The 16,273-nt window shown below is 50.7% G+C and overlaps 1 long non-coding RNA gene across 5 annotated transcripts, besides 3 other annotated features; it reads left to right on the top strand.

The window, feature by feature from the left end:
* Positions 567–1,095: an enhancer, noted in NCBI's record as "H3K4me1 hESC enhancer chr20:56290116-56290644 (GRCh37/hg19 assembly coordinates)". NCBI's record gives its function as "activates a minimal SCP1, AML or CMV promoter by ChIP-STARR-seq in primed H9 embryonic stem cells {active_cell/tissue: H9 hESC(primed)}" and the evidence as "EXISTENCE:reporter gene assay evidence [ECO:0000049][PMID:30033119]".
* LOC105372692 (uncharacterized) lies at positions 4,181–14,731 on the top strand. 5 transcript variants are annotated; one of them, XR_007067675.1, is made up of 6 exons: positions 4,181–6,164; positions 6,842–6,965; positions 8,119–8,209; positions 9,153–9,232; positions 10,110–10,238; positions 10,571–14,731. It is a non-coding gene; the product is annotated as an uncharacterized LOC105372692 (long non-coding RNA). The 5 variants fall into 5 exon arrangements; XR_936917.3 differs by having other exon boundaries at positions 4,260–6,164; positions 9,153–9,348; XR_001754689.2 differs by having other exon boundaries at positions 5,988–6,164; positions 9,153–9,331; positions 10,110–14,731.
* Positions 10,305–10,805: an enhancer, noted in NCBI's record as "H3K4me1 hESC enhancer chr20:56299854-56300354 (GRCh37/hg19 assembly coordinates)". NCBI's record gives its function as "activates a minimal SCP1, AML or CMV promoter by ChIP-STARR-seq in naive H9 embryonic stem cells {active_cell/tissue: H9 hESC(naive)}" and the evidence as "EXISTENCE:reporter gene assay evidence [ECO:0000049][PMID:30033119]".
* Positions 10,806–11,306: an enhancer, noted in NCBI's record as "H3K4me1 hESC enhancer chr20:56300355-56300855 (GRCh37/hg19 assembly coordinates)". NCBI's record gives its function as "activates a minimal SCP1, AML or CMV promoter by ChIP-STARR-seq in naive and primed H9 embryonic stem cells {active_cell/tissue: H9 hESC(naive and primed)}" and the evidence as "EXISTENCE:reporter gene assay evidence [ECO:0000049][PMID:30033119]".
* Positions 14,732–16,273: the final 1,542 nt, after the last annotated feature.

Raw genomic sequence — 16,273 nt, forward strand, 5'->3', positions numbered from 1 at the left:
ACACTAGTAAGAGCCAATGTTTATTGGGCACTGCCCATGTGCCATGCCAGGCCCTGTTCTAACCACTTCACATTCTTCCACTTAGTCATTCCACAAATATGCATTGGGATCCTACGGAGAGCCAGAAATGAGCTCACTGGATCCCCACGACAACCCTCTGAGGTCCAAGCTGATATTATTCCCATTTGACAGATGGGGACACTGAGGCTCAGGGACCCAAGGATGAGGTGGAGCTGGGATGTGAATCAGGTACTTGGGCCCTAAAGCCCATGGGCTGGCCTCAGCAAATGATGCCTTCTGCACCCTGTCTCCCTCCTCACTGCCTTTGACTGGGTCCTCCCTGGCCGTCCCACTGGACTCGGTTGGCACTGTGCCCCTGGCCGTCCCACTGGACTCGGTTGGCACCGTCCCCCTGGCCGTCCCACTGGACTTGGTTGGCGCCGTCCCCCTGGCCGTCCCACTGGACTCGGTTGGCGCCGTCCCCCTCAGCTCCACGGAGGCCCCCGGGGATCCACCATTTGCCTCACCGCTGGTGGTGTCTGTTCATAAAACCTCATCTCCGACCATGAGGGGCAGCTGACTCTGCAGCGGAGTGAGGCTGGAGCGGCTGGGTTGGTGAGAGGCCACTCCAGCACCTGCTCTGGGTCTGGCGTGGGCAGCCTTGGCAGGCTGCTTCAGCTCACTGAACCTGCGTCCCCTCTGCCACTAAACAGGGAGGAGCGGGATTTCACAGTGAGGGAGAGGCAGTGTGGGGAGGCCTCAGCACAGGGCCCAGCGGCCCCTGGACTCGGTGTCTGTGAGTTCACCATCCCCTCCACTGCTCCAGGGGGCAGGCCAGTCTGGCATGCCTTGCTTGGGGTCTGGCCTGCAGTGGGTGCTTGGCAAACCTCTGTGGACTAAATGCAGGAGGGACACCTACCCACAAACACATCCAAATCCCATTTTTGGCTGCCTTCATGACTGGCTAACAAGTCTTCCCGCTCACTCACCCTCTCCACCTCCAAGTATCCTCTTGCAGCTGAGTATCCAGAAGCCAGTCACCTGGGCTAGCACCTACCAAGAAGAGCAAGGAGCGTTTGCATGGTATCAACCAGAACCAGAAGTCTCAGCCAGAAAGACGTGTTGTGCATGTGTGGTCTCCACTGTGAGCTTGTGGGTGTGCGTTGCATGTATATGCAGGACGTACATGTGCATATTCACGCTGTGGGGTATTTGTGTGTGTGTGGTGTGTGTCGTCTGTGTTGAGGGTTTGAGGGTGCACGTTGTATTGTACATATGTTTGGGGTACGCATGTGAGTATTTGTGCTATGAGGGTATGTGTGTGTTGTGCGTGCATCTGCATGTGTTCTCGCATTTTCTTGGTTGTGTTGTGTGTGTTTAGGCGCTGATACAGGAGCTTCGCTGCTGTACAAATATACAGGAGCTTTGCTGCTGGACAAATGTCAGATGGTTGAGTTCTCCAACAGCAATCCAAAGATGCTCGGCTAAATTGGCCACAGATGACACCCCCACCTCCATCCCGGGGTGCCATCCCATTCTCTTCTGTCCAATTTTTCAATTCCAGCAGGGAACTGAATTCTTCCCGAGAAGAGAGGGCTTTGGAAGCCAGGCAGGGAGACAAGGGTGGGCAGAAGGAGAGGACAGAAGGGAACATTAGAGCCAATTTTGTCTTCTGACAGATGGGTAAACTGAGGCCCAGAGAGGGCCATGACTTGGAGAAGATTCAAGGTGCCAGTGAAAGGCAGAGCTGAGCTAGGATCCATTCAGTGCCTGACAGCAGCCCAGGCCCTGCAGGGTCTTTGGTTACCTTAAATAGCTTAATACACAGACTTTTCTACCACAGGTTGAGCTTGAGAGGGGAATGGAAGATTCCAGATGTTTAACTCATGTCTGAAACACTTTCAGAAAGAACTATGAGTCACTCAAGCTGATTTCACGGACCAGAAATACCCAACCAAAAGTGTTCTGCGTCTCTCTTGTCATGAATGACACATTGTACTGTTATTAGGAGTAATTAATAATATAAAACTGTGCTTCTCAATGACACCAGAGCGATTTAGGGGAGGCTGGCCCTTGGTGTTCTGCTGCTGGGTTTGAGGGGAAGCAGGTAGAGTGGTCTGGGTGTGACAGCAAAGGCCATGCTGATCACAGAGGACTCGGACATGACCGTGTCTGCCAGGCTCTGTGCAGTGCTAATGCCAGGCACCACACCTGGCACAGAGACAATTCCACACCTCGTGCCAGGTGCTGCAACAAGCCGTGGGGCTGCACAGTGACTAGCGCAGGCCAGCTCTGCCTCCACGGTATCCCCTCTGATGGGCTTACCCACTCATCTGCCCATTTCCCCCAAACCTGAATTCTGCATGCTGAAAACCGTGGGGTCAGGCAAGTACATGTTACCACTTCTGTGTGACCTTGCTGAAGAAAGTGAATGAACTACTCCGGACCTTAGTTTCTTCATCTTAAAAGTGGAGATCTGACAGGTATCCATCCACTCATAGGGCCAGTGGAAGATTACATGGGTAACTCATGCAGGGCACTCAGCACAGGGCCTGGCTTGGAGCAAGCTCTTGAAAAAGCTAATTACAGTAGTCCCCCGCCACCCACCCCATGCATGGCTTCCCTTTCCAAGGTTTCAGTTACCCATGGTCAGCCGAGGTCCAAAAATAGTGGGTACAGTACAGTAAGATATTTTGAGAGTGAGAGAGAGAGAGGGGGAGGGACCACATCCACACAATTTTTATTACACTATATTGTTATAATTGTTCTATTTTATTGTTAACTGTTGTTGTCAATCTGTTACTAGGCCTAATTTATAAATTAAACCTTATTGTAGTATCCATGTGTATGAAAAAATAGAGTATATAGGGTTCGGTGCTGTGTGAGGTTTCAGGCATCCACTGGGAGTCTCAGAACGTACCCCCATGGATAGGAGGGAAGACTGATTAACACTGCGCATTGTGCATCCCAGGGGCTCCCCGTCCCGGACAAAATACAAACAGACCCTACTAAATCCCTCTTCTTCCCTTTGGATAACTTATCTCAAATTATAAATTATAATTTTGTGTGTGTGAATTTGTGAGTGGCTTCATTCAGTGTCTCTCCCCAGCTAGACTGTGTCCTGTGTCTCCCCAGTGTCTGGTCTAGGGACAAATGCTGAGACGTCTGCAAGGCCATCTAGAACGCCAGGAAGGCACTGTGGGAACCCAGAGGAACAGGGCACGACGGTGCCCAACAGTCCCAGGAAAACACTCTGTGCCCTTCACCTACATCTCCATGCCAGGGTTGGAGACAGGGTCCTGTCCCATCTGCACATGGAGCCCTCCGGACGGGTGAATCTGTCGTCAGTTTGGGGCTTGGGAATCGGTGTCCAAGAGCTGGCTTCAAAGGCAATGAAACTGGCATTGCATCTTTGAAGGCAGCACAGGCTACATCTGTCTTATTCTCCGTGTCCACAGCCCCTAGCAGTGACTGGCATGTGGTCACGCCCAATAAATATTTGCTGAATGAATGAACGCAAAACAATTTGCAATGTGGACTAGTCCCTTAAAGTATGTGTATCTGCAACCGGTAAGTCTACCACATATCTTAAGGAAATAATCAGAGAAGTGAACAGTTTTAAGGAGAAGAACGTTGATCCTATCTTCATTCGTAAAAGCAAAAGTGCAATGAAATTAAAAACAAATAGAAGATGCGTAAATAAAAGGCAGTGATCATAAAACTGTTCAAAACCTTGTTTTCAAAAATTATCTGATGATATAAAGTCCCATATAAACTAAATTTAAAAATAGGCTGCAGAACCGATCTCAACTTTTTACAAAAATATTATTAGAAAAAGGATTAAAATGATATTTGCCAAAATATTAACAGTGGTCAGCTTTGTGCAATGGATTAAATGCAATATATTTCTCATATTGTTTGCTCTATTTTCTACCATGAGCATTCATTTAGAAAAATTTTTAAAAATTTTTACTTAATAGTGCCTCTGAAGCACCTCTCAAGTCCTACCTCCTGCGGCTCCTTTAACAGCGGCCAAGACACCGAAGAGGCGGGGGTGCCAGACAGGCTGACGTCATGGGCAGCCCGAAATGACACAGCTAACCGGCCAATCCCAAGTTTGGATTCCGGGAGAAGCACGATCTATTGGATACAAGTGCTGGTGGCCTCGGCCAATGGTGGGAGAGGGGCCGGAGCCCGGCGGCTGCGTGGGTTTTAAATCCACGTGGTGGCTGCGGGGCGGGGCGCGGGGCCTCGGTGTTTAAAGGCTTTGGGTCCGCCGGGGCTGCAGCGGCGGCGGCTCCGAAGCGCTTGTTCTTTTTTGTGAAAGGCGATTCCTCCACCACCTCTTAGGATCTTGGGCAAGTCACTCAGCCTCGCTGAGCCTGTTTGCATCAGTAGGGTTTTGTGAGGCTCCAGCCCTTCAACAGAACATTTGCTGAGCATCTACTGTGTGCCCAGCAGGGCCTTCTTAGATCAGGTATAAGGCAGGAGGGAAGCGTCGGGAGTCCCAGGCCTGCTGCCTCTGTAACCATGGGCAGGTGGTTCAACATTACCTCCCCTTCTTCCCCACTGCTCTGCCCCATCCTGGCTTTTATTGTATCTCCTCTAAAAGGGTGTGAGCTCCACGGGGAGGTACCCATGTGCTTTGAGGAAGGTCTGCCCCAGTTTATATTCAATAGGTACTTTTTGAATAATTATTGCAAAGACTAGTTCTCAGCACAGAGCTTAACACATAGGAGGTGTTTGATAAATGGCAATTGTTCATGCAATAAAGAACAATAGCAGGCCAGGTGCGCGGTGGCTCACACCTGTAATCTTAGCACTTTGGGAGTCTGAGGCAGGATTATTGCTTGAGCCCAGGAGTTTGAGACCCCTGGGCAATGGTAGTGGGACCTCATCTCTTAAAAAAAAAAAAGAAAAAAAGAAAAAAAGAAAAGAAAAAGAAAGACAGAAATATATTAGCCAGGTGTCTTGGTGCATGCCAGTAGTCCCAGTTAATTGGGAGGCTGAGGCAGGAGGATGGCTTGAGCCCAGGAGTTTGACGCTGCAGTGAGCTATGATTGTGCCACTGCACTCCAGCCCGGGCAACAGAACAAGACCCTGTCTCCAACAGCAACAACAGCAAAGAAGAACAGATAGCACTGATGGAATGCCTATTACGTGTAAAGTGGTGTTCTGGGCATTTCACGTGTATTACATGCAATTTAACATTAACAAAATTACAAGTCTTATATAACAATATTCACAAAAAAAAACCAGATTAGTCACCATTATTATTCCTATTTTGCTGATGTGGAAACCAAGGCAGAGAGAGGCGAGGTAACTTTTCTAAGGTCGCGTGGCTAGGAGGTGGTGGGGCTTGATTCAAATCCAGGTCTGTCTACTCCTGGGGCCCTTGTTCTTAACCCCTGCGCTATCCCAATACTTGTCTAGTACTCAGCCTTTTTTTTCCAAGAACGTTCTAAGTTAGGCCTGTGCTAGTGGGAAGTGGGAGAGGAGGGGATAGGAATCAGGTGGGTGAGGCAGAGCCAGGTGAGCTGGGGTCCTGCCCCCTATGGCATGGCCCAGCCCTATGGGGTGGCATTGGGCAGGAAGAGGGGCAGTGAGACAGACAGCCACTGGGGCCACGTGTCCTGTAAACAGGCTACCTGCTTGCCAGGCCCTGTGCTGGGCTGGTGGGGGGCAGTGCGGGGCAGTGCTGGGCATGACACACCCTCCCTGCCCTCATGGGGCTGTCAGTCTAAACCAGCTACCACTAATGGTGACCTGAGTGCAGCCTGCAGGAGGGGTTTTGGTTTTGCCTGCATGGTATTTAAACACTTTTTAAACATGAATTGCCTCGGTCCCCACCCCTCCCTAGTGTCACAGATGTCAGCTTTACTCATGTGTCCCACCAGCTCCTGAATGCCCTGAGCAGCTTTGTTCCCTGGTCTCCCCATGCCAGCAGCCCGCGGGGGGGGGGTGGGGGGGGGGCTCTGTGGCTGGCACACAGTGACTGCCCTGGCTTTCTTTGCTTTGCCTCCTGTCTGTGTTTGAAATCCCGAAATCACCGCCTTGAGCTCTGAAGCCCAGCGGCTCCGAGGCTGCAAGCCTCTCCGCTGGCCCCAGATGTGCAGCATGCAGCTTGAATCTCTGAGGACTCTGGTGGTGGATGCCAACTCCAAGTAAGTCAGACTTGGTTTCAAGTCCCAGCATCACTGCTAACCAGATGAGTGACGCAGGGCAAGCTAATAAAATCTGCAGAGTCTCAGTTTTTCTCCTCTGCGAAATGGGGATAATAGCTCCTTCTTCATCCGGTTATGGTGAAGGGTAAGTGCGTTGATGCAGGCTGAACGCTTGGCACAGAGTAACACTCTTTCTTTGGAGGCAGCTCATTTAGAACCATTGTCACTGGCAGGAAGTCCTTCCATACATCAGGCTGAGGTCTGCCTGCTTTATAACTTCCATAATTTGTTTTCCTAGCAGCATAAACATGCTTCTCTCTCCATAGAACGGCCCTTCAGTAACTAAGGGCCATGCTAAACATCACGGTGTTCTATTCAAGCTCTCCTACATCATTTGTGGAGCCCATTGCAAACTAAAAATGCCAGGCTCCATGTTCAAAAATTAGCAAGAACTTCAGGTTGGTGACAGCAGAACTCAGAGCCCCTTCTGAGGGCAGAGCCCCATGTGGCTACACGTTACATCCCTTGAAGCTGGCTCTGTTCTCACTGGGGGTCCATGGTATGGCAGCATCCTCCAGTACCACAAGATGGGGTCTTTCCGGAGCTGAGCAGGGCAAGGACAGGTTCTGGCTGGACCCAGGGAAGCCCACCTGCAGGTGTGGCCTCTATCTCTGCAGCTCACAGTGGGAATCTGGCCCACAGGACCCAGCCTGCCACCCTCCAGGGAGCCGTGGAGATTTCAGGATTTCTCCTCTGCGAAATGGGGATAACAGCTCCCTCTTCATCCGGTTATGGTCAGGGGTAAGTGCGTTGATGTAGGTTGAATGCTTGGGCAGAGTAGTGCTTTTTTGTTGTTGACGGCGCATATATTGAGAGCAAAGCACACAAATCCAAAGTCGATTGTTTGATGACTTTTCACGTTGAATATACCTGGATCACCACCTCCCGGATCAAGATTGAGAGCATTCCCGTCACTCCAGAAAGTTTCCGGTTACCGCCCACCTTGTTTCCAGTTACTGCCCACCTCATTTCTAGTTACTGCCCCCCTCATTTCTAGTTACTGCCCGCCTGCGTCCCTGCAGAAGAGATAACCACGATTCTGACTTCTTTGACGGTAGATTTCTTTAGTTCATGCTTGACTTTCTATTGTTTTATTTTTATTTTTGTATTTTTAGAGACAGGGTCTCACTTTGTCACCCAGGCTGGAGTGCAATGGTGTGATCATGGCTTACTTCAGCCTCCATCTCCCCTGGGCTCAAGTGATCCTCCCACCCCAGCCTCTCAAGTAGCTGGGACTACAGGTGCGTGCCACCACGCCCAACTAATTTTTTAATTTTTTGTAGAGACGAGGTCTTGCTATGTTGCCCAGGCTGGTCTTGAACTCCTGGGTTCAAGCTCCCACCATGTCCTTCCAAAGTGCCGGGATTATAGGCATGAATCAAGGCACCTAGGCTTGATGTTCTGTAAACAGAATCCTGCGGTATGTATTCTTTTGGGTCTGACTTCTTCACTCACGGTTAGGCGTGCTAGGTTCACCCTAAGCACAAAGGCATGCTGCTTTGTTCTTTTTCATGGCTCTGCAGCTTTCCTTTGTGTGCAGACACCGTGATTTGTCCCTTCTCTTGTCATGGGCATGGGTTGTTCCCAGCTGTTGGCTCTTGCAGGTGGGGCCGCTGTGGACACTCTTACCATTGTCTCTTGGCTTGCTCCTTGCACACTTATTCTCCTTTCTCTGGGGTCCTTTGTCAGGAGTGGGAACGCTGGCAGAGGGTGGGCTTGTATTTAGCTATAATAGATATTCCTGATCAGTCTTCCAAGGTGGTCGTACCGACGCCCATTCATTGCCACCCGCAGTGGACGGAGACTTCCTGGTGTTCCACATCCTCCCCAGCACTCGGTTTGCCGCTCTTATTAATGTAGCCATTCTGATCAGTGTCACCCTTGGATTTTGCAGCTGACCTAAGGGGGCTGAGGGTGAAGGCCACAGGCTGAGAAGCTCTTGCCAGTGGTCAGTGAGGAGCAGCAAATTCGGGTCTTGGCACTTGGTAGGTGCCCCTTACCCTTGGAGACACTTGCAAATCTGACCAGCATGGGTTCTGTGACTTCATCTAAGTGACTGACGAGCACCCAGAAGAGGACAGACCCCACTGCAGAGAAAGCCGGGGCTTCCTCTTAGACAAGCCCCTCCCAGTCATCGCGTTTTCACTCATGTCCTCTCCCAACAAAAGCGTGGAACAGGAAAGTATCTGCTCTTCACAGCGTCACATGCTCTATTTAAAAACAACTTTTGGGAGGAGAGGAGGGAGCAGAACAGATGTTTGGCCATGTTAAATTTACACAGTGATTGTAGGTTGCAGCCTCCTGCCTGAAAGATTAAAATATGAAAAAAATGCATCTCAGAAACACAACAATAACAACCCCAGCCCCTGTGGTGCACTCACTACAGGGAGGCGCTGTGCTGGGGGCTTTGGAGCTGGAGCGGCTCCATGTCAACTCCTCAGCAACCCTTGGAGGTTGGTGTTATCACACCATTTTACAGATAAGCTATGACCTCCAAGCCTCAGTTTCCTTATCTGTAAAATGAGAGGGAGGCAGAGGGAGATTCAACATGTGCAGAGAGATTAAACACACACAGAGGAGAAGGCCATGGGAAGACAGAAGCAGAGACGGGGTAGAGGCAGAGAGCAGGCAGAGGGAGGCAGAGACAGAGACCAGGATGGAGAGGGAGAGGTAGAGACCGGGGTAGGGGGAGGCAGAGACTGGAAGCAGAGACCAGGCAGGGGGAGAAGGCAGAGACTAGAGGCAGAGACCCAGAGGAGGCAGAGACTGGAGTGATACAGCTGTGAGCCAAGGGACATGGGCACACAGGCAGCCATCAGGAGCTGCAGAGGCAGGTGGGACCCCAGTGGGGCCTCTGGAGGGAGCCTGGCCCTGCTGACACTTTAATTTTGGTCCTGCAATAACTGATTTTGAACTTTCGTCCCCTAGAACTGTGGGAGGATCAATGCTGCTTGAAGCCATCGGTTTCTGGGAATTTGTCACAGCAGCCCAGGAAACACATGCAGAAGGTTTGGAGATTGGTCTTTCCGATGACTAGGGTGCTTTGTGCCCATTTCAACACTCTCTGCCCTCAGTGGCACATTCAGACCACGTTGACTTGGGCAATGGTGAGGGAAATGCAAAGGTGAGCCAAAAATACCTGGTCTCTGTCTTTGGGGGGACTTAAAACAACAGCAGCTCATTCTGTCGCAGTCCAAGAGGCCAGAAGTCCAGAATCACGATGCCAGTGGGGCTGGCCCCTCTAGGGGCTCCAGGGAGAATCTCCAGCATTTCTCTCCTGGCCTGGTGGCTGCTGGCTCCTCTGGCGATGTGTGGCATGTGGACGCGTCACAGAGATCGGCAGGCAGATCTCTGCCTCTGTCTGTGCATGGTCTTCCTCTCCCTGTGTGACTCTCTGTGTCTTCACTTGGGCTTCTCACAGGGACACCAGTCACTGGATTTAGGGTGCACTCAAATCCAGTATGACCCATCCGAACTCATGACATTTGAAAAGACCCTTTTTCCAAATATGGTCACATCTGAGGTCCCAGGTGGATATGAAATTTGGGTGACACTGTGCAACCCAGTACCATCCCTTTTTTTTGAGACGGAGTCTTGCTCTGTCACCCAGGCTGGAGTGCAGTGGCGCGATCTCGGCTCACTGCAACCTCTGCCTCCCAGGTTCACGCCATTCTCCTGCCTCAGCCTCCCAAGTAGCTGGGACTACAGGCGCCCGCCACTGCGCCTGGCTAATTTTTTGTATTTTTAGTAGAGACGGGGTTTCACCTTGTTAGCCAAGATTGTCTCGATCTCCTGACCTCGTGATCCGCCCTCCTTGGCCTCCCAAAGTGCTGGGATTACAGGCGTGAGCCAGCGCGCCTGGCCCAGCACCATCCCTTTTTGCAGGAGTCACCCTCTTTGGTTTCTGAAATGCGGACACACGTTACAATGGAAACGAGCACTTGGGGCTCCCTGTCTCGGAAAAGTTGTTGAATCAATGCACGTTGATTGCTTCAGCAATCTAGGAAATACTATGTAAGTTTTCTTTAAACAATGCCAGTATGGCCACAGCGCCCCCCAGAATTCTACTATTCATTCACTCACTCATTTACCTCATTTACTCATTCATTCATTCATTCATTCATTCATTCATTCAGTGTTCCGTCCCTGATGATTTGGTTATGACCAAAGCAGACACAATCGCTGACCTCAGGGAGCATGTGTTCTGGTGCAAGAACTGACGCTGAGGTCCCCCTGACTCTTTGCTTATCCTTCTGACAGCAAAAGTTGTCAGGAAAACAGACAGAAACAAAAAATGCCCACTCTGGACTGAATTGTAAATCTTACCCCTTTCTCCTCACCCAAAGCCCAACAAAGCAATTTGAAATTCCAAACCTGTGACCACTGGACAAGATCACCTTTCTCCCACTGAGAAGAAGATCAGCGTTGGCTCGGGCCAAGTCTGGGAGACAGACAAGGCCTCCTTTCAACATCGTGCCTCCAGGGGAACCAGGCCAAGTATCGGCCCTCCAGAGACAGCTGCAGCCCTTGGAGGCCTCCCCACTGAGTCCACACCCCTGGCCCAGGGCACTCAGGCTAGCTGACCGGCCCTGCTCCCTGGCCAGCCTCATTTCCTCCTGTTCTCTTGCTTGGTGCCCCTAGCAGCCGTCTTGCACCTGGCCACTGCTTCCCACGCCAGGGCCTTTGCCTTTGCTGTTCCCCTGCCTGGCATGGTCTCGTCATTCAGGGCTCAGCCTGAATGTCACCTCCTCCTGGAAGCCTTACCCTCATCTCGTTATGTCCTACCCCATCACCCTATTTCTTTCCCTTGGGTCACCAGTAAGAACCTGGGTTGAGCTTGTGCAGCCGTCTCATTGTCTTAGCCTCACGAAACTGTAAACCCTTTGACAAAAGGGATCTGTCTGGTTTGTTTGACGTGTAACCCCAGCTTCCAGCCTAGCACAGAGAAAGCTCCATGGAGACACTGACTGTCAGATGACTGCAGACCTCCCCACAAGGAGGAGGGAAGCTGGCCTCCAAGGAGGCGCATCCCACAGTGCAGTGGTCTCTGGCCAGGGTGGGTCATTACGCCATTGGTTTATAGCGCCATTTGCTTCGGCCCCTTTTGGTGGCATCCCAGGGTTTAAAGTGACCAGGCAGCTAGTGTGGGGAGACGGGACACAGCTGTCTGAGGTCAGGGGGTCTGTATGTGCCTCTCCGGCAGGGAACAGCCTCGGCCGTCAGAAGCCAGGTTTCAGCATTTAGGATGCAGCCAACAGCCAAATTGCTTTCTTGGTTTTATATATAAGGGCTTTTTTTGGTACCATAAGGGCGGGTGGACAGGGCTGCCTTTGCTTCCTGGAGGGTCTGGTTCCTTTCGGGGAAGGTCTCAGTTGGCCACTGGAGTAACAGCACTGCGTCGGCCCATGTGGCCAGCCAGCATCCCTGTGCTCATGGCTAAGGACAGGCTGTTACTCTGTTCTGCGGGTCTTGAAGTCATTTGGTCAAGTGGACTTCAGAAGGAGAGAGAGAGAAGGACAGACAGCATCCATGGAGACTGCCACAGAGAATGGAAAGAGAATGGGATCTGCAGTCTGATGGGCTGGCATATCTCAGCAGCAGCAACAACAACACAATAATATGGAATTCAGTCCAGGCACGGTGGTTCCCGCCTGTAATCCTAGCACTTTCGGAGACTGAGGTGGGAGTTTGAGCCCAGGAGTTTGAAACCAGCCTGGGCAACATGGTGAAACTCCATCTCTACACGAAATACAACAATTAGCTAGGCATGTTGGCATGTGCCTGTAGTCCCAGCTACTGGGGAGGCTGAGACAGGAGGATTGCTTGAGCCCAGGAGGTGGAGGCTGCAGTGAGCTGTGTTTGTACTACCACACTCCAGCCTGGGCGACAAAGTGAGACCCTGTCTCAAAATAATACTAAATACTGAGTTCATCTTGCATTCCTCCTACACGCTGAGCACTACTCAGGCATTCACCTAAATTACTTCACACAGTTCTCATGAGAACCTTATGAGGTAGGTCTCAGTACTGTCCCTTTTTACAGACACGGAAGTGGATGCCCAGAGAGGGTCACTTGCTCCCTTTTTTTTTCTTTTTTCTTATTTTTTTTGAGACAGTGTCTGGCTCTGTTGCCCAGGCTGGAGTGCAGTGGCATGAGCTCTGCTCACTGCAGCCTCCGCCTCCCAGGTTCAAGCGATTCTCGTGCATCAGCCTACTGAGTAGCTGGGACTATAGGCATGTGCCACCATATCCGACTAATTTTTGTATTTTTAGTAGAGACAGGGCTTTGCCATGTTGGCCGGGCTGGTATCGAATTCCTGACCTCAAGTGATCTGCCCGCCTCGGCCTCCCAAAGTGCTGGGATTACAGGCGTGAGCCACCTCAGCCAGCTGTCAGTTGCTCACTTGGTGAAGTCAGGATTCTAATTCAGGCTGTTGGAGTTTGAAACTGAAGCTCCTCTCCATTAATGGAAGAACCCAGATTTGGGAGTTTCCCGGAAGAACCACCTGGGGTGGGAGGAGAATTGACTGGAGCAACACTAGCAATGCCCACAGTAACAACCCCAGCGACGCTAATAGCCTGGCCGTGGGAGCAGCTGCTTATGAGCCTGGCCCGCAGCCGGGCCCTGGTTAAAGACCTTCATGTACTTCATTCCACGCTCCCAGCAACTTCCCACAGCCAGCACGTCACGGGTGCTTGGGAAGTGTTACTTGCACATTTGTTGACTCAATCACTGAACAACTCTAGGTGGCCGTTAATTTTATCGCGTTTTGCAGAGGAGAGCACTGAGATTCAAAGGAGCCAATTTGCCTGGTGACTGCCCTGCTCAGCGCTGAGGACCAGTTCTGGTCTGGGATGACGTTTCCATCAGGCAGCTGCGAAATTAGGCCACATGGAAGATGTTGTGAACTTTTTGCAAAAAGAAGTGTTATTTCTGTTACGTTGATGTTAAAGATTCTCCTATGAAATTATTTTGATTGCAGAAAGTAACTTTAAAATGTTATTATTACTAACCTATGGTGGTCTCTTGCCATCCCCTTCTGAAAAGTCATGCCAGTTGGTGAATTCTGGACATGTGGGAGCCACTTCTCAAGGTCACAGCATCCAGGTACCTGGAATGTGAGCCCAGGTCTGGGTGATTGCACAGCTCTGCCACCTGATCAGCTCCATAAACTAAAGGTGGGGGATTTCACCTTTCTTAGCCTCATCGGGAAAGCAAGGCATTACAAGAACCCGCCCTGGCACATTACTGAGAAACCAGGATGAAGTGAGGATTCCAATCCCATTTCCTGGCATACAGTAGATGCAGGTTTTGCCCTAATGCAAACCCAGGGTCCCCCATGCCTGAGGGCAGGCTTAGAAATGTCATAAATCAACCCAGAGAAGAGAAGGGAGAGGCAAGCATGTTTGTGGGGGAAAAAAATGCCTGTGGGGTGGAAGACTACAGTGATAAATGAAGAAGCAGAGGACTTTGATTTCTGGTAACAACGACAAAAACTAAAGAAAATGTTGATGTACACTCACAGTTTGTCAGTGGAATGTCCCAATGCTGAAAGTAAGTAGGAATATAAGGGAACACTGGGATTGGCACCAGGGAAAATACCTCCAGGCTGGGGGAAGTGATCCAGTGGCTTGCAAAGGTGGAAGAGGCAAGTCCAGCCAAGGTCAGTTGTTGGGGAAGGTTGCTTGGAGGATCCTTGGGTCTGACCACAGCTTCACTCTTGAAACTTGATCATCTCAGCTGCCTCAGTAGGTCTGGTTTCCTGAAAGCCAGGACCACTTAGCGGAGGTCCTTGGGCAAATCACTTCATCTCTCTGGGCTCAGTTAGCTCCTCTGTAAAATGGGTGGAAACATACAAATGCTGTCATGGATTAAAGCCCTCGGAGCAGTGCAAGGCACCAGGCAGCCACTCAGCTCTGCTTGCTGTCCCTTGTAGGAAGGAGGCAAACCCCCAGTCCCTGTGAGTCCCTCCCCAGCACCTGCACACAGGGTTGGGCAAACAGTCAGTGGGGAGAGACGGGACCGTCCTGGAAGGTGAGGGGAACTTCAGACAGCAATTTCTAGAATCCAAGTTCTCCTCTGGGTTCAGTCTTAGGTTGGCAGCTGCCAGGCACTTCCGGGAAAGGCAAATAACAGAATTGCTGGTGTTGAGAGGTGAAATAATACAGTCCCAACAGTGCACGCGCATGCTTTGTAAGTCAAGAGATTTTGATATGCTTCCAGCTGTATCCCCAGGATACACAGCACTATGCACTATGCCTGGTGCATAGCAGATGCTTAATTAACATAACTTGAGTCAAAAATTGAATATGGTTCTCAAGGGTGGCAAAGTACAGCCTGTGGGCCACATCCAGCCTGGTGCCTGTCTTTGTACCTGCCAGTTACGAGTGGCCTTTACATTTTTAAATGGTTGGAAAAAGGCAAAGGAATAATATTCTGTGGTACATGAAAACTGTATGCAATTCAAAGTTCTGTGCCCATAAATAAATTATTTTGGGGAATGCAAACAGGCTCATTTGTTCACATATTGTCTATAGTGGCTTTTGAGCTACAAGGGTAAAGGTGACTAGTTGTGACAGAGACTTTTCAGCCCACCCAGCCTAAGATACTTACTCTCTAGCCCTTTAAGAAAAAGTTTGTGGCTGGGCACAGTGGTTCACACCTGTCATCTCAATGCTTTGGCAAGCCGAAATGGGAGGATCGCTTGAAGCCAGAAGTTCAAGACCAGCCTGGGCAACAAAGCCAGAGTCCATCTTTACAAAAAATGAAATAAAATAAATTAGCCAGGTGTGGTGGTACACACCTGTAGTCCCAACTACTTGGGAGGCTAAGGTGGGAGACTGCTTAAGTTCAGAGTTTGAGGCTGCAATGAGCTATGGTTATACCACAGCACTCCAGCCTGGGCAACAGAGCAAGTCCCTGTCTCGATAAAAAAGGAAAAGGTTTGCCAACCCCTGATCTAGACCAATTGGTCTCAACTTTGGCAGTGCGTTGGAATCACCTGAGAGCTTTAAAAATCCCGATGCACAGGCCTCAGCCTCAGAGATTCTGACTTAACTGGTCAAGAGTGCAGTTGGGACAGAAGATTCTAATGGGCAGCCCAGGCTGAGAACACTCCCTAAGTGCTGGCTGTTAATCAGGACTCCTCTTTTTGGTTGTTAGTACCTCCCAAGCATGAACAGGGCATTAGAGCACCATGGGGAGAGCAGCGCCAGGCTCCTTCCAGAGATCCCTGAGCCCAAACTTGCAGACTCTCAGGCTTGTGGGGCCAGTCAGGAACAAACATGGGGGAGTGGGCAGGTAACTGAGCACGGGCTGTCTCAGGTTCTCTGTCTCCCTCTGCTCCTGGCAGGTGGGCTCAGGAGGGTGTAGATGCAGGGCTGCGTCTCCTCTATGGGCCAGCAGCATCTCTACATGTTTCGTGGCACCTGGTACCATGTGCTGAGCACTGGCCGTCATGCCCATCTATTTTGGTGGTGTTAGAAGCAGCTCCCAGGTATTGAATGCTTCCTCTGTGCCCAACAACTCTGTGCCACCCTACGATGGGGGGAGTGTCTTTCCTTTTGCTGAAGAACTTTTCTGAGGCTTGAGGAGGGCAAATCACATTCCCACAGCTGCCTAGTTACTGCCAGGCCAGGGTTTGAAGTCAGACCCGTCAGGCTCCAGAGGCCACTCTCTGAGTCCCTGTGCGCTCCTGCCAACGGGAGGAAGAGAGAGAGCTAAGCCGTCTCTCTCCTGGGAGGCTGGGGCGTCTGGTTTCTTAAGTGATGAGCACCGCAGCAGTGGCAGCGGCACCGTCCTGTGGCTTCTTTCTCACAAATCTTTTATTTTTGGCCTGAGACAGCTAATGCGTGGCCAACGTATCCTAGGAAACCAGGATGCTTGGAGCAAGCTGTACCAAATCTCCATGCTAAAACCATCAGATGGCTAATTTGGGCCTCTCTAGTTATTTATTTAATTATTTTTAGATGCCTGTGTATCGTTTTACACACTTTCTTGACAAATGCAAGCGTCAGGCACACGCGTGCAGGGCATTGGACCATGTGCCT

The sequence above is a fragment of the Homo sapiens genome, chromosome 20, assembly GCF_000001405.40.
Source record: "Homo sapiens chromosome 20, GRCh38.p14 Primary Assembly".
NCBI classification, from domain to species: Eukaryota; Metazoa; Chordata; class Mammalia; order Primates; family Hominidae; genus Homo; species Homo sapiens.